Source organism: Homo sapiens, chromosome 7, assembly GCF_000001405.40.
Source record: "Homo sapiens chromosome 7, GRCh38.p14 Primary Assembly".
Taxonomy (NCBI): domain Eukaryota; kingdom Metazoa; phylum Chordata; class Mammalia; order Primates; family Hominidae; genus Homo; species Homo sapiens.
This window is the reverse complement of record NC_000007.14, coordinates 150,377,079-150,398,672: the sequence shown is the minus strand read 5'-3', so window position 1 is coordinate 150,398,672 and position 21,594 is coordinate 150,377,079. Positions and strand designations below refer to the sequence as shown.

General features: G+C 52.5%; 1 protein-coding gene and 1 long non-coding RNA gene across 8 annotated transcripts, besides 8 other annotated features; one reads left to right on the top strand and one right to left on the bottom strand.

The window, feature by feature from the left end:
• Positions 1–42: 42 nt before the first annotated feature.
• ZNF775 (zinc finger protein 775) lies at positions 43–19,343 on the bottom strand. 7 transcript variants are annotated; one of them, XM_047420222.1, is made up of 5 exons: positions 16,328–19,343; positions 15,850–15,966; positions 10,172–10,251; positions 4,175–4,207; positions 43–2,160 (listed from the first exon to the last, which is right to left on the bottom strand). In XM_047420222.1, exons 3-5 carry the CDS (start codon positions 10,200–10,202, stop codon positions 578–580), a joined length of 1,647 nt encoding a protein of 548 aa, XP_047276178.1. In that variant the 5' UTR covers positions 10,203–10,251; positions 15,850–15,966; positions 16,328–19,343; the 3' UTR covers positions 43–577. The 7 variants fall into 7 exon arrangements, with proteins under 7 accessions (XP_047276178.1, XP_047276179.1, XP_047276177.1 ...); XM_047420223.1 differs by having other exon boundaries at positions 15,850–15,935; XM_047420221.1 differs by having other exon boundaries at positions 15,850–19,343.
• Positions 9,515–10,113: an enhancer, noted in NCBI's record as "H3K27ac-H3K4me1 hESC enhancer chr7:150085648-150086246 (GRCh37/hg19 assembly coordinates)". NCBI's record gives its function as "activates a minimal SCP1, AML or CMV promoter by ChIP-STARR-seq in naive H9 embryonic stem cells {active_cell/tissue: H9 hESC(naive)}" and the evidence as "EXISTENCE:reporter gene assay evidence [ECO:0000049][PMID:30033119]".
• Positions 11,348–11,918: an enhancer, noted in NCBI's record as "H3K27ac-H3K4me1 hESC enhancer chr7:150083843-150084413 (GRCh37/hg19 assembly coordinates)". NCBI's record gives its function as "activates a minimal SCP1, AML or CMV promoter by ChIP-STARR-seq in naive and primed H9 embryonic stem cells {active_cell/tissue: H9 hESC(naive and primed)}" and the evidence as "EXISTENCE:reporter gene assay evidence [ECO:0000049][PMID:30033119]".
• Positions 11,919–12,491: an enhancer, noted in NCBI's record as "H3K27ac-H3K4me1 hESC enhancer chr7:150083270-150083842 (GRCh37/hg19 assembly coordinates)". NCBI's record gives its function as "activates a minimal SCP1, AML or CMV promoter by ChIP-STARR-seq in naive H9 embryonic stem cells {active_cell/tissue: H9 hESC(naive)}" and the evidence as "EXISTENCE:reporter gene assay evidence [ECO:0000049][PMID:30033119]".
• Positions 13,961–14,916: an enhancer, noted in NCBI's record as "OCT4-NANOG-H3K27ac-H3K4me1 hESC enhancer chr7:150080845-150081800 (GRCh37/hg19 assembly coordinates)". NCBI's record gives its function as "activates a minimal SCP1, AML or CMV promoter by ChIP-STARR-seq in naive and primed H9 embryonic stem cells {active_cell/tissue: H9 hESC(naive and primed)}" and the evidence as "EXISTENCE:reporter gene assay evidence [ECO:0000049][PMID:30033119]".
• ZNF775-AS1 (ZNF775 antisense RNA 1) lies at positions 14,682–18,828 on the top strand. The gene is made up of 2 exons (NR_183445.1): positions 14,682–14,872; positions 18,485–18,828. It is a non-coding gene; the product is annotated as a ZNF775 antisense RNA 1 (long non-coding RNA).
• Positions 15,873–16,831: an enhancer, noted in NCBI's record as "H3K27ac-H3K4me1 hESC enhancer chr7:150078931-150079888 (GRCh37/hg19 assembly coordinates)". NCBI's record gives its function as "activates a minimal SCP1, AML or CMV promoter by ChIP-STARR-seq in naive H9 embryonic stem cells {active_cell/tissue: H9 hESC(naive)}" and the evidence as "EXISTENCE:reporter gene assay evidence [ECO:0000049][PMID:30033119]".
• Positions 18,125–18,184: an enhancer, noted in NCBI's record as "active region_26827". NCBI's record gives its function as "activates an Ori minimal core promoter by ATAC-STARR-seq in GM12878 lymphoblastoid cells {active_cell/tissue: GM12878}" and the evidence as "EXISTENCE:reporter gene assay evidence [ECO:0000049][PMID:35858748]".
• Positions 18,975–19,784: a silencer, noted in NCBI's record as "silent region_18778". NCBI's record gives its function as "represses an Ori minimal core promoter by ATAC-STARR-seq in GM12878 lymphoblastoid cells {active_cell/tissue: GM12878}" and the evidence as "EXISTENCE:reporter gene assay evidence [ECO:0000049][PMID:35858748]".
• Positions 20,195–20,354: an enhancer, noted in NCBI's record as "active region_26826". NCBI's record gives its function as "activates an Ori minimal core promoter by ATAC-STARR-seq in GM12878 lymphoblastoid cells {active_cell/tissue: GM12878}" and the evidence as "EXISTENCE:reporter gene assay evidence [ECO:0000049][PMID:35858748]".

The window sequence follows — 21,594 nt, the reverse complement described above, 5'->3', positions numbered from 1 at the left end:
CAGGGGGCTGGCAGGGATGGAGAGGGACATCAAACCATTCACTCCTTCCAAAAATATTTATTGGATGTCTACGACGTGCCAGCAGTGGCCCTGGTGCTGGGAATATGCTTGGCTCTCCCTCGCCACAGCCTCTGGCTTCCATCCTTGGTATCGCCGAGTCTTGGCAACTCTCCCACAGGGGCAGCCCCCGGCCATCCTGAAGCGTGGGCAGGACCGGCTGGTGCCACAGCTGACCAGTCCAGACCTAAGCCACTTCACACCAGAGACTCTCCCAGCGTCCCCAACAGACCCCTCACTCGGTGCTTGAAGCCTGGGGTCCAACCTCTGAAGAGGGTGGTCACATCCCGGCCCGCGGTGAGGAACTCGGATCTTCCCTCCTCCCTCAACCCACGCTGGGACCTTTCCCAGCACCCTTTGGGACGCTTCTAGAACTGTTCTCAGCCCTTCAGAGCCTTAAGGAATCCACCGGTCCCGCTCTAAGGGGTTCTAAGAGCCAGCAATCCTGGCCACCCCCACTCCCCACACACACCCCGCAAACATCCCCCGCACCACCACGGGTCCGCTGAGGTCCAGTCCACTAGCGCGCCTCCTCCTTGGGGCTGCACGCAGGGGCCGCGCGGTGCACGCGCTGGTGCTTGAGCAGGTGCTGCTTCTGGCTGAAGCCGCGGCCGCAGGCGGGACACAGGTAGGGCCGCTCGCCTGTGTGGTTGCGCCGGTGCCGCGTCAGGTTGGGCTTCTGGCTGAAGCGGCGGCCGCACTCGGGGCACGGGTAGGGCCGCTCACCCGTGTGGATGCGCTGGTGGATGGTGAGCGCCGACCACCACGAGAAGCTCTTGCCGCACTCGTTGCAGATGAACTGGCGCGGCTCGCCAGGCCCAGCGAGGCCCGCTTGTCCCCGGCCCCACAGCGTGTCCCGGGCCCCCGGGGACCGTTGGGAGCTCCGCGGCCTCGCGGCCAAGCCCGGGATGGCCTCGGCCTGCGGCTGGTCGCCCGGTTCCCCGGCCGGAACGGCGGGCTCAGCGACAGCGTGGGCGCGCTGGTGGGCGCGCAGCGCGGCGCGGCTGCGGCAGCTCTTACCGCAGCTGGGGCAGGGCGCAGCCTGGGCGCCGGGCAGGTGCGTGCGCAGGTGCTTGAGCAGGTGCTGCTTCTGGCGGAAGCCGCGGCCACAGTGCGGGCAGGGGTGCGGGCGCTCGCCTGTGTGGTTGCGCAGGTGCCGCGTCAAGTTGGGCTTCTGGCTGAAGCGGCGGCCGCACTCGGGGCACGCATAGGGGCGCTCGCCAGTGTGGATGCGCTGGTGGATGTTCAGCGACGACCACCAGGTGAAGCTCTTGCCACACTCGTTGCAGATGAACTGGCGCGGCTCGCCCGGCCCCTCGGGGCCGGAGACCGCGGCCCGGGCCCCGGGCTGGCCCCACCAGCCCTGGCAGAGCCCCAGCCAGGCCCACTCGGGGCGCCCCCGCGGCGGCCCCGGCTGCAGGCGACAGGCCCGGCGCGCCGCCGCGTCCTGAATCAGCTCGTGCAGGCCGGCGCGGGAGCCCTGGCGGTCCCGGGCGTGCGCGCGCTGGTGGATGCGGAGGCCCACCTGGTGACGGAAGCAGCGCTCGCACTCGGGGCACGAGTGGGTGGCGGGCCGGGAGTGGGTCTTCTGGTGCTTGAGCAGGTGCTGCTTCTGGCTGAAGCGCCGCGCGCACTCGGGGCAGCAGAAGGGTCGCTCGCCCGTGTGGTGCCGCTGGTGGCGCGCCAGGTTCGGCTTCTGGCTGAAGCTCTTGCCGCACTTGCCGCAGAGGTACGGCTTCTCCCCGGTGTGGGTGCGCTGGTGGATCTTCAGGGACGACCACCAGCTGAACCTCTTCCCGCAGTCCAGGCATACAAAGTGACCCTCGCCGGAGGAAAGCGAGGGGCTCAGGGGGCCGGAGGCTGACCCGGGAGCCCGGCCTGCCAGCCCCGCATCCTGCTCAGTGGGAGGGGCCCACCTTGGACTCCCAGACTCCTCCTGTCCCCCCAGGGCTCGAGGCCGCCCCATGGTCTGGCGTGGCGGGAGGCCCCGGTGCTGCTGAAATATGTTCTCCTTGTCCTTCTCCACAAGCATGGCCTGCGGCGCCAGCGTCTGCAGCAGCCGCTCCGGCTTCTCCTGCTTGACCTTCATCACCAGCCCAGCTCCTGCCAGAGGCAAGCGGGAGAGAGGAGGGAGAGAGGTCACTGCTGCTCCGCTGGGTGGGATGGAGAGAAGGAGCAAGAGAGAGGGAAGTGGTGCAGGAGGGCAGAGAGGGGCTGAAAAGAGGGCACGAGAAAAGGCAGAAGGGAAAGATTTTTAAATGAACCTAAGAAAACAGGGGCAAAAGAAGAAAAAAGAGTCGGGAAGGCAGAAAGGACAACAAGGGCAGGTTAAGATATAGAAAGGAGTGAAGGAGAAAAATACAAGAAAGGAACCGTAAGTGAATCACTCGGGTGCCCAGGCCTCAGGATCCCCGAGGCACCGGCTGCTCTGCCTTCTCCACCCTGAGGCCGAGGAGATGCAGAGAAGGTTTAAAGAAACCGATCCAGTGAAATCTGCTGACCCAGGGGGCAAGGAGAAAGTGGCCAAGCTGCAAAACATACCATTCTTTTTCTAAGAGGATCGACGTGCTGGAAGCTTTCTAAGCAAAGGCATGCTCAGTCCCTCAGTGGTCAGGGAGACCAACCCCTGGGTCACTGCAGCACCGTCTATACTGTCGGGGCTCCTGCTCCAAGGCAGAAGCCATGGCGGGGGAGCACTTCACCTGCTGGGACCTTGGCTGTCTGGCAACTCATCTTCCTTCAACAAAACCAAGAACAAGAAAGTAGGCCAGAAAGACCTCAGCACCCAAAAGAGGTGTCGCCTTCCCTTTGTGTTAAATCCAATCCACTTTACTCATGGGGGTCCCACACCCACTGCTCCCAGCCCACACTTGGGCCGTGCACAAGTCTACAGAGGCACTTTGTCTTCCCAGCTCACAGAATAAGAAGCCATAAAGAAACCATCTGCCACAGACACTAAAGAATGCATACTGTGTGATTCCATTTATGTGAAGAGGAGAAACTGGCAAAATGAACCCACGAGTTAGAAGTCAGGATAATGCCCTATTACAGAGGGCACTGTGGGTGGAAGGCAGCATGGGCTCTGAGGTTCTGGCAATGTTCTCCATTGATGTGGGTGCTAGTTACAGGGGAATGTTTGCTTTATAAGAATTTACAGAGCTTGTGATCCATGCACCTTTCCAAAAAGGTTTACATGTAATTAAAAGTAGGTGGAATAAAACAGCTGTGAACAAAGAGAAAAATCTTTAAACAGACGTCAACGTTACAAACCCAACAAAATAAACCCAAAGGAAGTAGAAGAACGGCATTAATAAAGATAAAAACAGATTATAGATAAGGGACATGTAGCCGCAAAAAGGATTCTGAAAATCCCCAAATATGGACTTTATATAAATAAATTTGAAAATCTATATGAAATAGAAGATTTTGCAAGAAAATGTAAACTAAAACTGACCCAAGAGTAGGTAGAAAATCTGACTACATAAACAACTAAAAGAGACTGAGAAGAACATCTCAGTGTACCTCAAAAATGGGTAACAGGCTCTGTAACTATATAAACAGGTGCTGCTAAAGCCTCAAGTGAGGACTTTTTCCACCTTATATGAACTATTACAGTGAATAGGAGCAAAGGGAAAGAAAAGTCTACAAGGTTAGCATAACTCCAGTATCAAGCCAAGAATGGAAGTGGGCAAAAGGTTTATCATTCTTTGAACATAGACACAAACATTAGCAAAGCAACTTCAGTGGTATCAAAATAATAACATACCCTAACCTTGCTGAGATTTTCCCCAGGAAAGCAAAGATGGCCCAATATAATTTATAACATTACCTTATTAAAAGTGAAAAAACTCCCAATAGATGTGAAAAAGTCATATGATAAAATTCAACATTATTTCTGGAGGGAAGGATCAAAGGAGGGAGAAGGTAGGGAAAGAGGAAGAGGGGAGGGAGGGAGGGAGGGAGGGAGAGAGAGAGAGAGAGAAGAAAGCTCCTAGCAAACTAAGAATAGAGGAAACTAAGTTGACAAAGAATGTACTCTAGAAATTACAGCGAACATTATAACCAAAGGCAAAAGATTAGAAGCCCATTACAGGTAGAAACAAAATGCGATGCTCACCATCCCTGAAATCAGCCGGCTGTCCTTGAGGAACTAGCCAAGGCAGAGGGGAAAACAAAGAGAAACGCATCAACATTGGAAAGGAGAGGAAGCTGCCATTTGTTTATGATTATTAACAACCTGGAATGTGCAAGGGAATCCACTGAGAAATAGAAATAAGAGTTCAGCAAGATTGCCCAGTACAAAAACATACAAAAATCACTTTTTAAAAAATGGCAATACAAGTAACTAGGAATATACCCAATAAACATGCAAAACATATACAAAGAAAACTATTAAACTTTACTAAAGAGATAAAGAAAACTAAAGAAAAGGAGCAATGTATATCATATTCTTAGATGAGAAGCCAAAGATGTTCTTCACTCTGAAATAATGTTTAAATTCAGTGTAATCCTATTTAAGTGAACTGTAAAATTTATCATCTATACAAATTGCCCAGAAAATCCTAAAAATGAACAAAGAAGAATTTGGCTTATACGACATTAAAAGCAAAAATGCTACCACTGTACACATATGAATGGCTAGAATTGGCCGGGCAGAGTGGCTCATGCCAGTAATCCCAGCACTTTGGGAGGCCAAGGCAGGTGGAACACCTGAGGTTAGGAGTTCAAGACCAGCCTGGCCAACATGGTGAAACCCCATCTCTACTAAAAATACAAAAAATTAGCTGGGTGTGATGGCAGGCACCTGTTATCCCAGCTACTCAGAAGGTTGAGGCAGGAGAATCACTTGAACCCAGGAGGCAGAGGTTGCAGCAAGCCGAGATCACACCATTGCTCTCCAGCCTGGGCAACGAGAGCAAAACTCTGTCTCAAAAAAATAAAAATAAAATAAAATAAATGAGAGTGGCTAGAATCCAGATCACTGGCATGTGCACACAGTGAGGCTGAGCAGCAACAGGGGCTCTTTCCTTCCTGGTGGAAATGCAAAGTGCTGCCACCACTCTGGAAGGCAGTTCAGCAGTTTCTTACAAAGCTAAATACAGGCTTACCATCCAATCCAGCAGTCGCTCTCCTAGGTATTTACCCAAAAGAGCTGAAAACCTCTGTCCACACAGAAAACTACACATGAATTTTTATAGCTTTATTCCTAACTGCCAGAACTGGGCAGGAACCACAGTGTCCTTCAGTGGGTGAATGGATAACTCCGCATGATGGAATATTAGTCAACAATAAAAAGAAGTAAGCTATTAAGTCAAAAAAGCCATGGAGGTACCCTACATGCAAACTTCTAGGTGAAAGACGTCAACATAAAAGGCTACACACTGTATGACTTCAACTATATGACATTCTGGAAAGGGCAAAACTACAGAGAGAATTTAAAAACCAGTGGTAGCCAGGGGTTGGGGGGTAGGGAGAGATGAACAGACGGAGCACAGGGAACTTGGGGGGCAGTGAAATATTCTGTATGATACTATAATAGTGATACGGGACATTATGCCTTTGTCAAAACCCAGGTAAGGTACAAGACCAAAAGAGAACCCTAATGTCAACTACAGACTTTAGGTAATAAAAATGTATCTATATTGGTTCATCAGTTATAACAAATGTACCATATGAATGCAAAATGTTAATAATAGGAGAAACTGGAGCTAAGGTATAGGGGAACTCTACTTTCTTCACAATTTTTCTGTAAAGCTAAAATTGCTCTAAAAGATAAAGTCTAGGTCAAGCACAGTGGCTCTTGCCTGTAATCCCAGCACTTTGGGAGGCTAAGGCAGGAGGATTGCTTAAGTGCAGGAGTTGAAGACCAGCCTAGGCAACATAGCAACACCTGTCTGTATAAAAAATTTATTAAATTAGCTGGGTGTGGTGGTGCACACCTGTAGTCCCAGCTACTCTGGAGGCTGAGGTGGGAGGACTGCTTGAGCCCAGGAGGCTGAGGCTGCAGTGAGCCCTGATCATGCCACTGCAGAGAGAGAGAGAGAGAGAGAGAGAGAGAGAGAGAGAGAGATCCATTTGGGAAAAAAAGAAAATAAAACCGAACTCTTGACTGACACAGTTGTTATTGTTATTGGCATGGCTCTTCCATGGTGGGCCTGGTGACTTAAGGCTGCAAGTCAGATTCCCTTCCACAAAACAATAAAAGTAAAAGTAAAAATGCTAAATATAATCATTACAATAATGTACAGTACACATAATAGACAAATAGGCCAATGGAACAGTATTGTTTGATACATGATACAAGAGATATTCCAAGTCCATGGAAAAAGGCTATTCATCGACTTAGAACCAACTCTCTCTTTGGGGAAAATATTTAAGTTAGATTCATAGTGAAGATTGTTTATAAAAATCAGTTCCAGATGGACTTAAGTGCCAGCTTAAAAAAAGGAAATGGAAGTATTAGAAGAATTAGGAGAATTTGCTTAGAATCCAGAGGTAATTAAAAGCCTTCTTAAACAGGATACAAAAGATAAAAACTAAATTTAAAACATCTGTATGACAAAAGATACTATAAACATAAGTCCAATAGAAATGGGAATTTCCGCCAGGTGCAGTGGTTCACGTCAGTAATCCCAACAATTTGGGAGGCCGAGGCGGGAGGATCACCTGAGGTCAGGAGTTCAAGACCAGCCTGGCCAACATGGTGAAACCCCGTCTCTACTAAAAATACAAAACAATTAGCCGGGTGTGGTAGCATGTGCCTGCAATCCCAGCTACTCAGGAGGCTGAGGCAGGAAAATCACCCGAACCAGGGAGGCAGAGGTTGCAGTGAGCTGATATCACACCACTGCACTCCAGCCTGGGCAAAAAAAGCAAAAACTCTATCTCAAAAAAAAAAAAAAAAAAAAAGAAAGAAAGGAAAAAGAAATGGGAATTTAGAGCAGCATTTTCCCACAGAACCTTCTGCAATAGCAAAAACAGTTTACATCTGAGCTCTTGAAACACATGTGGTTACTGAGCACTTGAAATGTGACTAGTGCAACTAAGAAATGACATTTTTAATTGTATTTAAATTAATTAACTAATTTTTATTTATTTATTTATTTTTGAGACAGAGTCTCCCTCAGTCACCCAGGCTGGAATGCAATGGCGCGATCTTGGCTTACTGCAGCCTCTACCTCTGGAGTTCAAGTGATTCTCCTGCCTCAGCCTCCCAAGTAGCTGTGATTGCATGCGCCCACCACCACACCCAGCTAAGTTTTGTATTTTTAGTAGAGATGGGGTTTCACCATGTTGGCCAGGCGGGTCTCAAACTCCTGACCTCAGGTGATCCACCGAACTGGGCCTCCCAAAGTGCTGGGATTACAGGCGTGAGCCACCGCGCCTGGCCGTACTTAAGTTAATTTAAACCTAAACTTAAACTAGAAGAGTCCTATGTGGCTAGGCCACGTGCTGGACAGTGCAAGTCCAGGAAAAAATATGTGCAGATATAGAATAGACAAACGCTTAGTATCCAGACTATAAAACAGACTCCTATACGTGATAAAAAGAGGTTCAACCCCACTAGTCATCAACAAAATGCAAACTAAAAGTGTAGCATCTTTCAACCCCTCATACCAACAAAAATTTAAAAAATCAATAATACCTCTACTTTACAATATGCGTGGACACTACACAGGAGAACAAGTATACACATGGGTATTCTGAGAGCATAAACTGAGGCAGAATTTGTGGAGGACGATCTGACAGTGTTTATTAAAATTAGAAGTGTGGAGAGCCTTCTGGCCCTTTCCAGCCAGCAATTCCATCCCACGTGTTCACCAAAGAAATACTGACATACGAGTGTAAAGAGGAATGTCCAGGAATATTCACTGAAGTGTTCTTTGTAATCAGCAAACAATGGAAAATAACTTAATTATCCTAAAAAATAGTTCCCTTCATAATATGGAATACTATGCATCAAGTAAAAAGAATGGAAAAGAACTATGTATGCCAATATGAAAAGATTCTCAAAACATTTTAAGAGAAAACAAAAAACAAGTTGAAAAACCATATGAATCATCTGATTGAATTCATAAAAAATTAAACCATATGTCTCTATGTATACACACAGGCATGATCCAGGATGAGTCACACCAATCTGAGACCGGTGGCTGTGCTGTGTCCATCAGGTGGCTGATGGCTGGTTCCCCCTCAGCCCTCTCCAGCCAGAAAGATGACTGTGGGCCAGAGAGCCCCAGGATGCCAGGACAGTGCTGTCACATCCACCTGCCGAAGGGCCCCTGGCGGACGCAAATGACTGGGTTGGGCGAGGTGCTAAGTCCAGCACGCATCCCTGGAGGCCCTGGAGCTGAGGTGGAGTGTGCTGGGGCTCCAGCAGCCCCAGGCACACTCCCGAGGGTTCAGGTATCCATATGAAGAGCGCAGGCCACTGGCCTGCCCGTGGAGAGTCCCGAAATAATGGCACCGCTCCTCAGTCATCATGAAAAGGATCATGTTTTAGGTTTTAATGGTTCAGATAAAATTAGAAGGTGCAAAGCACAGATTATTGCTCCATGAGTACAGTTTCCCAGGTGATGAAAATGTTGTGGAAATAGATGGCAGTGATGGCTACACAACACTGAATGTACTGATGCCACTGAACCGTACACTTAAAAATGGTTACAATGGTAAGTGTTGCGTATATTTTGCCATAACACACACACACACACACACACACACACACACACACACACACACACACACACACACACACAAATAAAAATTAAAAGTTGCTTAAAAGAGGTAAGCTGTCAATTGTCTGAAAAACGGGGTCCTCCAGATGAGTGGTTCCCTCAGTCTGGCCAGAGGCCAGTCCCCACGTGCCTCCGTGTCTCCAGGAGTCTAGGCTAGTGTTTTTCAAACTCTTCTCTAAAACCACAGGGTTCCCCAGAAGCTGCCGTAGAGAGGAGAGAGGACCCCAGCAGACCACAGCTCACATCAACCAGAGCAACCTCACAGTGACTCAGGATCCCAGGTATGAGTCTATCTGGGGAAAGGGCCTTCTATAACACGCTGGGCACATGTGCTCTGAGTTCCACTGGAATTTCCAAAACACACATGCAGCTAGGGTGCTCCTGCCACCACCTGGCTCCTTGGACAGGCACGCAGCTGCATGGCTAGGCTCCCTGAGGGTCTGTGTCCACACACCACGCTGCCATGTTTTGCACTTGCGGCCACGTTTCTCTTTTACCCCGCTGCCTGATTTTTGTCTCAGTCTTGGGTCTCCTGACATGATATTCCTGGGAGGGGAGGCGGCTCTTCCCACAGAGGCAATGAGGAAGGGGCCCTGGGGTCTATGGGGCAATTCCCCTGGGAGGGGAGAGGGAGGTAAAGAAACCCGAGTCACACTGTGCCAAAGGGCAGGGTTCCCAAGGGTAGCCGGTGTGCTCTGGACTCAACCCTGCCAAGGGGCCTAGAGCCCTTCTGGCAGCTGGGCCACACGCCACATGCGACAGGGCACTCCAGGAAGGGCTGCAAGTGCTACACACAGACGCCAGGGGCTGCTCCACTCCAGGCGCAGGGACGCTGGGCAGGGGCTCCAGCCAAAAGCACATGACTGTGCGGGCAAACTTTCCACTGGCAGCATGTATTTCATCACAACCAGCTCTAAGCGGCTTAGCCAATAACGACCCTGAACTTTGAGTGACCCCCAGGAAGCGTTAATGGACTGAACTGAAGACAATGTCCTGACTGATGAGCCACAGGTTTGTTCCAATCGTCCTACCTAGAGTGCCAGTTTTCCGTGTCTAATTAGTATAACCCCACAAACTCCCTGTTCTAGCACGTAAATAACACCTCAATTTCTACAAGGCATGGGTGCACATGTGTCCCCTTGCTGGGCAAGTTAATGGACCAGGCTTTGCCATTTTTTGAGCTCCCACAGCCTCTGTCATTGTTCCATTCTTTGACATGGCTGTCTAAGTCCTGGTCCCCACCCTGAAATTCTGCATCAGTGGGATGTACTAGCTACTGGCTGAGGGCACTGGCTCGCGCCTGGCTTTAGAAAAGATAAGGGCACGTGACCTCAGCAGAGGAGACCCCGCTCCCCTGCCTCCTCTTTCTTCTCTCTTACCTGTGCCGTTGCCAGCCAGGCCACTCTCCATCCCTGGAGGCCTCCCAGCATCAGCGCCGGCTGTGTCCCTTTCCTGCCATCTGTCAGAAAGAGAAGCAGAAGAAAGAGAATGGGCCTGTGGGACAAGGACAAAACTCAGGGTCCCCAGCCCCCCTCCCATCCCATAAAGCACTCTCTTTTCCAAAGAGCTTTTCTATCCATAGCCACATTCGACATGGGCAGGGGTTCTTTCATTGTAAGCATACCTGCTGAGAAGGTAAAACAGCCATAATTCCCATTTTACAAAAGAGGAAACTGAGACCACGAAGGACCCCTGATGTGCCCAGAGTCATGGAGGTGATGAATGGCAGAGCTGGACAAAAACCCAGGTCTTCTAACTCCCACACGAGAGCCCACACCCTCAACATTCGCAGGGCGGCATGTGATGGACACCACGCCTGAGAAGCAGGAGCCTGGAGTAAGGTTAGAGACATGTCTGCGACTGGCCATGAGGAATGCACCCGGAAGGCAGAATGGCCCTACACGTTTCCTCCGTCACCCGCCCCCTCTTTCAAAGTCCCCATCCATGTTCTAGCACAAATCCCTCTGGGGAGCTTCGGGGCCAGCCATCTCCATACAAGAACACACACGGTCAATTGGGCATTGCTGAGCCCATGCCCAGTTCACTGATGTAGGATTCATCTTTTTTTTTTGAGATGGAGTCTCGCTCTGTTGCCCAGGCTGGAGTGCAGTGGCGGGATCTCAGTTCACTGCAAGCTCCGCCTCCCAGGTTCACGCCATTCTGCCTCAGCCTCCTGAGTAACTGGGACTACAGGCGCCCGCCACCACGCCTGGCTATTTTTTTGTATTTTTAGTAGAGACGGGGTTTCACCGTGTTAGCCAGGATGGTCTCCATCTCCTGACCTCATGATCCGCCCGCCTCAGTCTCCTGAAGTGCTGGGATTACAGGCGTGAGCCACTGCGCCCGGCCTTCTTTTTTTGTTTTTATGCCCAAGTCTTCTGAGCGCTTCCTGAGTGGCTCACTCTGTGCCTGGAACATGACAGGACAGGTCACACTGCTGTGTGGATGCCCCACGCCTTTGCCCTGGCTGTCCCCTCACCGCAGATCCCCGCCTGGCTTGCCCCCCACACTTCTATCAGCTCCCAGCTTAAATGTCCCCTTCTCAGAGCAGGCATCCCTTGTGCTTCTTTTTTTTTTTTTTTTTTGAGACAGAGTCTTCCTCTGTTGCCCAGGCTGAGAGTGTAGTGGCCCAATCTCAGTTCGCTACAATCACCACTTCCTGGGTTCAAGTGATTCTCCTGCCTCAGCTTCCTAAGTAGCTGGGATTACAGGTGTGCGCCACCACACCCAGCTAATTTTTGTATTTTTAGTAGAGACAGGGTTTCACCATATTGGCCAGGCTGGTCTTGAACTCCTGACCTTGTGATCTACCCACCTCGGTCTCCCAAAGTGCTGGGATTACAGGCGTGAGCCACCGTGCTGGCCCCTGGCGCTCCTATTTACAGTCACCAGCCTAACTCCACCTCCCGTTTCCTCTCTAACATTTTTGCCACCTGACATGATCTTAACTTTTCTGTTCCCCACCACAGCAAGGTCAGGAGCTCTTCATGCTTGCTGCTGGATCCGCAGGGCTCAGAGCAGAGCCGGGCACACAGAGGGCCCGTAACAAATGCAGGTGGCAGGAATGTGCTGCCCTGCCTGGCCAGGAGCTGTGCAGCCTGAAGACTCATCTCCTCCTCGCTGGGGGTGCACCTCTCCTAAGGACAGGGATGTGGTCCCGTGCACCTGTACCCCCTAGCAGAGCAAAGATGTGGCTGCCCCACAGAGATGCACAGCTCGTCCTTCCTGCTGCCTCAGGGAGGGGCTCTTCCAGATTTCAGTCAGCCCCTCCTCCCAGGCACCCTGGCTCGGCCACCCCCACAGAAACACCCACCCCAGGGCCCGAGAGCCTCGCAGAGACCCAGACTCCCTCTCCTAGGTCCCCTTCAGAGCCCAGACACTGGGGGCACACACACAGACTGGGAATCTGGACCCTGACAAGAGACGTCGGGGGAGGGGTGAATATGAATCTAGAAAATGCAGAAAGTCATTTTCCCTGGTGCAAAGAGAAGAAGAGACACCCACTTTTTTCAAGAGCATTTTGTTTAGAAACTTCTAATTAATAAGCTCTATCTCTGTCTTTTTGAGATGCATGTGAATCTTTATTTTTTATTTTTGCAGTAAATGCTCCTCAAGTAGAAATAAATCTTTTTAAAAGTTAAATAAGGCTGGGCACGGTGGTTCATGCCTGTATTCCCAGCACTTTGGAAGGCTGAGGTGGGTAGATCACCTGAGGTCAGGAGTTTGAGACAAGCCTGGCCGACGTGGGGAAACCCCGTCTCTACTAAAAATACAAAACTTAGCTGGGTGTAGTGGCACATGTCTGTAATCCCAGCTACTCGGGAAGCTGAGACAGGAAAATTGTTTGAACTCAGGAGGCAGAGGTTGCAGTGAGCCGAGATTGTGACAGAGTGAGACTCTGTCTCAAAAAAAAGCTAAATAAGCCTTCTGCCAACATTACAACCCAGGACTGTCTTTCCCAAGGTCCTGGGGGCCATTTCTTTGAAATTTAAGTATCAAGGAAGACATCACCCCTGCCTCCCAGTCTCCATGGGAGGGTAGGAGCCTAATTTCAGCAGGTGCCTGGCTCCAAATCACAAAACTATCTCCTGTCATAAAAATATAAGAACTTTATTTTTCCTGTGGGTAAAGGCAATTAGCTAACACAGATGGTCACTCCAATTATGAGGTGAATTTAGGACGACCTGCCTGCGTGTGACAAATGGTAATGTCCAGTCCTCTTGCTGGAGGGCTGGTTGCTGTTTATCCTGAGAACATGTCTGTAACGGGCTGCACCTGCCGGCTACATGCAGGCTGAGAGCTTCCGTCTTTGCAGTTACTCAGGGATTGCAGGCTCAGAGCTCCCGTCTTTGCAGTCATTCGGGGTATTGCAGGCTCAGAGCTCCCGTCTTTGCAGTCACTCGGGGTATTGCAGGCTCAGAGCTCCCGTCTTTGCAGTCGCTTGGGGTATTGCAGGCTCAGAGCTCCCGTCTTTGCAGTTGCTCGGGGGATTGTCCATGGTGCGCACCACATTCTGGTTTCATGCACATTCAATCTTTTAAAAGCTGTTTTTCTCTTCTACTTTTGCAAAGAGCTTTTCTGGGTTGGCAAGAGATTTTGTTTTCAATTCTATTTCCCCAACAGGGGCCTGTACGCATGCCTACCATGGTTTCTTACAGAACCTGCTTGTGGTGCAGAGAAAAGGCGAGCAGTGGGGAAGGGGGCGGGAGGAGCCCCTGGTGGGGCTCTGATGGGTGCTGGGGGCTCCTCCCTCCCTCGCCACCCTCCTCCCTTGGGGCCACTCTGTGAGCTTCTGCATGCCACATCTTGGGAAACCTCTCACCAACTGGACTTAACATCCACCTGAAGAGGCGCAGAGGGGCTAGTGGACAGAGAAGCCACCTTGGTAAGGGGAACTCAGACCGAGGAGGGCAGAGCCCAGGCCACAAATTCAGGAGGACAGAAGGATGGGCCTGGGTCTCCACAGAGCGAGACCCCCAAGGCAAATCAAAGACAGTCCTACTTCACCCACCCTGCCTCCCAAGAGGTATTAGGACCTAACAGCCACTCCAGGTAGTAGCAGGCCTTCCACTGTCCGGGACCTCCCAGAGCAGCTCCTCCCTCAAGCCTCGGTGCCTCTGTCTCGGGCCATACCAGGGCTCGAGGGGAAGCAGCCTGTGGCTTACGTAAGAACAGAAATGGAGACAGAAGGAAGAGGACCCAAGAGGAAGAAGTGAGAAATTCAAAGGGGGAAACACAGAGGACAGGAATGAGGGGAGGCCAAGTCTTTGGGGACCCGCCTCTACCTGTGTGCTCAGGTGGGCTATGTCTGGGAAATGGCACAGCAGGTGTCCTACAGACAAAATCCAGGAAAGCCCTCCATGTGTCATGTTCCAGGCTGGCCAGACACACACGTCCCCACCCTAAGCTTCTCTCCTATTCTGCCTTTCACTCTGCTCTGTGCATGGCGGGCCCCTCCTAACCTACCATCCTGACATGTCCTCAGCCACCTGGAGACACCCAGGAGCCAGGTGAGCAGGCTGCCCAGCAAAGCGCCCCGGCTGGAAGACAGGCATCAAGGGCCAGATGCGCCATCTCCCACCAGTGCCCACACCAAGTCTTGGAAGGCCGCTTTGTCTATCGCACAAGGGCCCCCGGGCCCCTACCGGACCACCTTTCCTCTCTGCTGCCCCTCGGGCTCTGAGGGGAGCAGGACACACAGGGGCCCCCTTCCCACGCCTGGCCCTGGCCCGGCCCTCCGCGCACCGGGTCAGGCTGCAGTTCAGTTAAGAGCCTCACAGTGGGCAGGCCTCAGCCTGGGCCCAGCTGCCATGACAACTGAAGACCAACCACACAAAGAGGGGATTGAGCTAGCAGCAGGTGGAGAGGCCCGGGGCAGGGGGAGGCAACAAAGGAGCTTTGGTTGTGGCAGAGACTTGGGGGTGGGGCGGCCAGACAGCAGCTGGGGGAGGAGAAAGGCCACAGGCCAGAAAGAGGCAAGGTCCTCCCCATCGCCGCCCCTGGAACCTCCCACCAGCCCAGCACAGCTCTCACAGCCTCAGCGCCCCAGGTCGGGCAGTCAGAAGCAGACCATGCCACAGGTATCATCTGCTGCTAGTGGAGCGGGAGCAGGATCCGCCACTAGGCGCTAAGGCTTTTGGGGGTGGGGGCAGCTCCCCAAACCCCAGCCAAAGGCCCAGTATCAGGCCCTTCTCAGCCCTGAGGTCCCAGCAGGTCCTCACTTGCTGGGCACAGCTCAGCTGGTCTTCCATAGGAGACCCCCACAGAAACTGGCCTCTCCAGTCCCAGCCCATGCCCAGCCAATGCCTCCCTGCCATGCTGCCCCTTTCTATAGCCTCATCCTTCTCAACTCCACCGGGTCCCCAGCGCCTCCCTGCCCTCCTGCAGCCCATACCTGACTGCTATGTCCTCACCCAGTCCTCTCTCCCTGTGAGACCCCTCACTCAGGTTAGCCCCAGGGAGCGGGGGCTTGCTCCCACACCTGCGCGTCCCTCATATGCAGAAGGTGTGTAATGTGTATTGAATGAATGAACGGATGAGTGAATGAAACAATGGAGGACCCAAGAGGTGGCTCCTCAGGCTCCAGTCTTCTGTCACTATTAAGAAATCCCTCAGGACCAGGCAATGGTATTCTCTGCCTCTGATTTCAGTTAATAGCAGATGTTTTTAATTTAAATATATGATCATAGGGACATAAGAAACTGATGTAAATGCTAAACCACACACAAACACACCCAGATACAATCATATCTAAATACAGCTAAGTAAACAAAAGTTCAAAGACACAAAACTACGTGAGAACACCTGCAAAACTGTCTATGCAAATACAGAGAATGTGAGATATTTTTTAAAACTCACAGACACACCTACAGATCCACAGACACACAAACGTGCCACTGTGAACCAGGGCAGCACGAATCACTGCACAGCACACTTAGGAACACAGAACTGCAAAGCCACCCATGACACAAGTATCCTTGTACACCCATGGCCATCCCATCAGGGTCACTTGCTCCGAGGAAAAGAACTCAGAGAGGTAGAAACAGAAGCAACATACCCTCATCGAGCCAGGAGGCCGGGGCCATAAGTCACCGTTGGATGACCTGCGCTGGGGTGGGATAAGTCAGCAGGAGCTGCAGCTGGCTGGAGAGACGTTACAGCAAGACAGAAAGCCCTAGAGACAATGAGCCTGTGTCCGGCAAGCCTGGTGCAGCCTAAGATCCTCAGGGCCTGGCCTGTGGGCTCTGGCCCAAGGGGATGCAGCGGGCCCTCTCCCCTTCAGCCATCTTTGGGTGACCCTCAGCCGCCACCTGGCTGGCTCCTCAGCCCTAGTCTCCCCCTAGAAGCCCACTGCCTGAGGCTGGCAGGGATGTCCTTCTCAAGGCCACCCTTCCTGGTCCCTCCCCTCAGGACCCCATGTCTTAATCAAGAACCCCAAGTCCCAGCCCACCCACCACTGAGCCGCTGCTAGTCCCTGGCCAGTCATTGCAGCGCTTTGAGCTCAGGTTCTTGAAGGCGCAGGTGAACGGAAATACCTGCTCCCTGAGTTTGGGAGGAGCACCACAGGGCGGCAAGCCTGAGCCGGATGCATCGGGCAGTATCTGTACAAGCCTCTCTGCCAGCGTCCCCGCTGCCACTCACTCCTCCTAAGCCATCACTCCTTCCAGCCAGTTGGGAATCTCAGAGGCCCCCAGCGCCACACAGGAGCCTCCACGCTCCACCATGCAGGAGGAAGAGGGTTTGCCACGGCTCTGGTTGTGGCACTGTCTGCAGAGCCCTCCACTTACCAGGGTGGTTCTGCATGCCCCTCCCAGAGGTCCCAGCCCAAACCAGGTGGGCATCCCCTCCCCCACCTGGAGGCCTCCATCCCCACACCCAGCATCAGGCACCCTGAAGCCTCCCACAACTCCCCTGTCCCACCCCCCATGACCCACCCTGCTCCTCTCCAACTTCCCGGATCCCACTCAGCACAAGGCCACCCCCACTGTGACCACTCTCCCAGCCCTGACCCTTCCCCTCTTCCTACTCCACCATCTTCAGACCTCAGTCTCCCAAACACCCCAGTCCTCAATCTGGGGAGGGAACAGAGGAGGGGAGCCAAGGGAAAGGGCGGGCCACTGTCCAACCCAAAGAACAGGCCATAGTGGAAAAAGCCGCTGAGAGGCCCCAGACAGGGACTGAGATTGGGTTTGCTTCTGGTTAGCCACATGATCCCAGGCAAACCACTTTCCTTCTCTGGGCCTCAGTTTCCCCACCTGAAAATGGAAATAACGCTTGCTCGTGGTACAGAATTGTTATATCAAGTGGGGCGGGGGCGGTGGGGGGTGGGGATGGCGGGACGCAAACAGTGTGAGAGGACTCTGAGAGACATTCCCAAGGTGCAAGACAAATTCGATTTAGGTCGTTGCTGTTGCCATCACCCGCTCCCCACTCAGGGTTATAAGAACTGTACCTCAGGGTATGAACAGCCAGCCTGGTTTCATGGCTTCAGTTTGCTCCCCTCGACATTCCCAGGAGACCTGATCTGCATGCAAGCAGGTCACTTGCCTTATCCACTATGCCTGCCCACCTCCCAGAGGTCCCCAATTCAACCCCAGCCATGATCCTGAGGTACCTCCTTCCAAGACTTCCTTCACCGGCCAGAGGTAAACACGCTTGCTGGAACTGTCCCACCCACACCTCCCCTGCGCCACACCCCTGGCCCCCTCCTCCTCACCCACCTCCCTTCAGAGGCGAGAGCTGCACTTACATTCCTCGGCCCCAATTCTAATATTCAGGAACCTGTCAGGGCCTGCATCTGAGCTGAAGGCCGAGGATAAACCCAGCTGCTAACAATCTCTGAAGAGGTGTCACATTTTAATTAATAAACACGTTTGCATCCCTTGCTGCATTCAAAGGACCTTGGGAAAGCAAAGTGAGATGGAGCAGGGACCCCTTCAGGCACCTGCTGTGCCCTCCAATCATGAAAATAAAGGAAAATCTTGAGTTCTTTCCAGGGAAATTCCAGGCACCTAGCTGGTCCTGAGAAGTAAATGTGCAACCTGATAAGAAGGTAATCGTAGCTAAAATAATAGCAAGGAAGTCAGACCACACGAAACGTGTGGTTGCCTAAAGAAACTAAAGGTAACATCTTAGCATATGTCCTTGAGTTGTTTTTCAGAAACCCAGACCCCCACCAAATGGACTTGCTGGCACGCACACCTCGGATAAGAGGGAACTGAGAACTCAACTCTGCTCATCTTTCCCCATTGCACCCCGACACGCCCCATCCTCTCGTGGCTCTTGAACTCACCGTGTCCTCGCACCCTGTGACCAACCTTGGAAGGCCCTTGCTCAGTTCTCCCCTTCCCAGCCCAGATTAGGGATCGCTTTGACCAGGAAGCCTTTTTGGACACACCAGGCACAGCCAGGAATCCCTTCTCTGTTTAACCTGTGCACCTAGGACCATCTACATGGAATCATCATTGTCATCAATTTGTTAGTCTGCACAAGACTACATGCATCTTAACACAGGGTCCTTCTCTCTCCCCTGCACCCAGTACAGGCTCCACACACAGTAATCCATTAATAAAAACTGTCATAAGGGAACACTTAAATAAAAGAAATTTCAGTACAAAACAGATTTGAAGCACGGAAGCATGAACCTTCAAGCTGAAAGGAGACAACTGCCATCTAATCTCTTCATTTTACAGATGAACATGGGAACAGTTAGCTGTGAAGCCTTGGGCTGTCGTCCGCCTCCAACCCCTGGGGCTCTGACCACACCCAGCCCCAGCTCAGATCATCTTGCTCAAAGGGCCGAAGGAGGACCCATCTCCACACCTTCCACATGTAGATATCCTCAACGTTCTTCACAGAGGGGATGCCCGCACCCCGCCCCACCGAGTTCGCGGCTGCTGTGCCCATCTTCCTAGAGAGGAGTTCTCCGCCACACCCGACACCACACACTTCCAACTTCTGCGGTGCTTCCCTCTCACTTATCTCCACCCCCAATCCTTATCCCCGCTCGTTTAATCACACATTTATTGGTCACCTACTATGTGTCTGTCACTCTGCAGCGAGCATTGGGGTTCCTGCCCCCAGAAACTGATCTATCAGGGAGGCGAACAGGGACGGGGAACTCGGAACAACGGGACAGCCCAGGAGAGACCGCCCGCGGGCGACCCCTCTACTCGCCACCGCGTCCTCCCTCCATTCTCACTAGCCTCCCTCCTAACCTCGCTGCCCTGGCCTGGCGCCCTCCCCACCCTCGGCCGCGCCCCTTTCCCCTCGGCTGTGTCGGGGCAGAGGGAACGCTTGAGACCCGGGGCTCGGGGGGCGCGCGGGGCTCGGGGCACCCCAGGCCCCCGCCCCATCCCTCCGCCCCAGCCCGGGCCGGGCGGAGGCAGCACGGGAGGAGCGGGGCCGGGCGCTGGTCCATCCCTCGCACCGCCCCTCCCCGCCCAAAATGCAGAGGGACTCGGAGGGAGGCGACGGGGAAATAAATACCTTTGACTTTGTGGCTAAGGTTAACGGGAACTGCCACCCCGAGGGCGACTTGGGCACCGGGCTCCCGGCCCTGGCCATTCCCGGGGCAGGCGGGGCGGGCACGGGTGCCTGATTGGCTGGCGGGCCTGGCCATCCCCGGGGCCGCCCAGCCACTCCATTGGCTGCGCCGCTCAGATGACCCGCCCGGCCCTATCGGAGCAGCCCGCGGGGCGGCTCCTTTGTTCTCTGGAGCCAATAGCCGAGGGGGGAGGGCTGACCTCGCCCCCGGCGGGCGCGCAAGGCCCGGGCGCCGTGAGCGCGCTAGCCGCCGGCCGCGGGGAGGAGACCTTGGGAGGTCGGGCCCCAGATGGCCGGCGGCGTCCTGGCACCCCTGCCAGGCCTGGACTCCGCGTGCGACCCCGTTGTAACGCCTGAACTCAGCGCACGTTCGCCGAGCGCCACAGCGCGCCGGACGCTGTTTCTCCCTGCTGGGGACCCATCAGGGCCCGGACAGAAACCCCGGCTGAGGCTGTGGCTGCCCTCAAGCCGCGATAGCCCCACCGTGGGGTGTGATAACTTTTAGGGTTCACTACGAGGGACCTTAGAAATCATTATACCCGACCCCTTCGTTTTCTGTTTCAGGGAGGTGGTCTCGCTCAGACCCCAGTGGCGCGATCATGGCTCAGTGCAACCTCGAACCCGTGGCTCAACCGAACCTCCCAACCTGCTAACTTTTTAAATATTTTGTAGAGATGGGGGTCTCGCCATGTTGCCCAGGCTGGTCTCGAACTCTTGAGCTTAAGTGACCCTGCGGCCTCGGCCTCCCAAAGTGCTGGGATTACAAACCCGCGCCCGGCCTAATCCCTTTGTTTTCTAGCTGAGGAACGGCTCTGAGGTTACGTTACTAGGTCGGGTTACTAGGTAGGGTTCCCGTGAGCGGAATCATCTCCGCCCAGTTGCCACCCCGGTCCAGACTGCCAGACCTTCAGGAAGGAGTATCTTCGCAACTCCCCACCCCATTGTAAGGAAATTCCTCACACTTCTCCCTCAAAGGGGGCGCAGCTGGGTCAACTCCCACTGGCAGGATGCTCTCCGGAGCTGCTAGAAGCTGCCTCTGGGGCATGAGGTAGATACAGACAGAAGCTGGGCCTCTGAGACTCTACAAACGGTTGCTGTTGGGCAGGCGGACCTTATTTTCTTCAGTCAACAGCTGATTAAACATTTGCCACAGGCCCGGCTGCGGTTTAGCCTCAGTAGCACAGCAGGAACTGGGGACTGAGATTCGATTTTGTCACTAACTTCATGTGTACTTTTTATAAAAGATACTTTTCTGTTTCTGGACTTTGACTTATTCGTCTATAAAATAGGGTTAATAATTTTCTAGTTGCCTGCATACCTTACTGAGTTTTTACCGTTAATTTGGTTATATTATCTATAGAAGGATTTGTAAAATACAAAATCATACACACCCTATAAAGAGGCCACACATCACTAGCTATCAACACTTTGGAGTCTCATTCTCCTGTTTATTTTTTTAAAGACGGGGTCTTGCTATGTTTCCCAGGTTAAAGTACAGTGGCTATTCACAGGCACAATCATAACGCACTTCAGCCTCAAACTCCTGGCCTCAAGGGATCCTCCCACCTGAACTACACCTGAGACTACTGGCATGCACCACCACACCTAGCTTATTTTCTAGAAGAGTACCTAGAAGAGGTTCTACGAAGGCTTGTGGAATACATTCCTGTTGCTGAGACCAGTATTCTAGTTCCAGATTTGCCACTGGCTACAAGTGTTGAGACAGAGCAGGAACCTCTCTTAGGGGTCTGCCACCAGCCCCCCATTCAATGCACGAAAATAAAGAAACATTTGAGTCCCTTCAAGGGAAATTCCAGGCACCTAGCTAGCCCTGCAACCAGCAATTAGGGAAGTGAATGAATGACCTGCTAAGCAAGAAAGTAGTAATAGTTTAAACAATAGTACCCAAATAAGAGTCACAAAACGTTAGCTTCCTTATAGAAACTGAAGATGACATCTTGACATATGTCCTTGAGTTGTTTTTCAGAAATTAGGACCCCCACCGGTGGGGGTCACTTCCACTCTCTGGGCCTGTTTCCTTCTTACAGAGCAGACTTCCTCCAGATTGGCATCCCATGACCAAGGGTATTTCAGAGGTGGAAAGAATGGAGAACCTCTGGGATCCTATTTCCACTAAGAAAAAAAATACCAGGGGGAGAGGCTGCATATGTGTTTGCAAATACACAGGAAAAAAGTGTTAGGAGAATACTCCTCAAACTTTTCTCAGTGTAAACAAAAAGGATTTTGAGAGTGGAAT

Coding starts and splice junctions, on each gene's coding strand:
- ZNF775 (XM_047420221.1), bottom strand. CDS start 10,202: ATGGAGAGTGGCCTGGCTGGCAACGGCACAG. Junction 4,208..10,171: donor CCTGGCTGGCAACGGCACAG/GTAAGAGAGAAG, acceptor TGCCTTGGCTAG/TTCCTCAAGGACAGCCGGCT. Junction 2,161..4,174: donor GCCGGCTGATTTCAGGGATG/GTGAGCATCGCA, acceptor TGCCTCTGGCAG/GAGCTGGGCTGGTGATGAAG.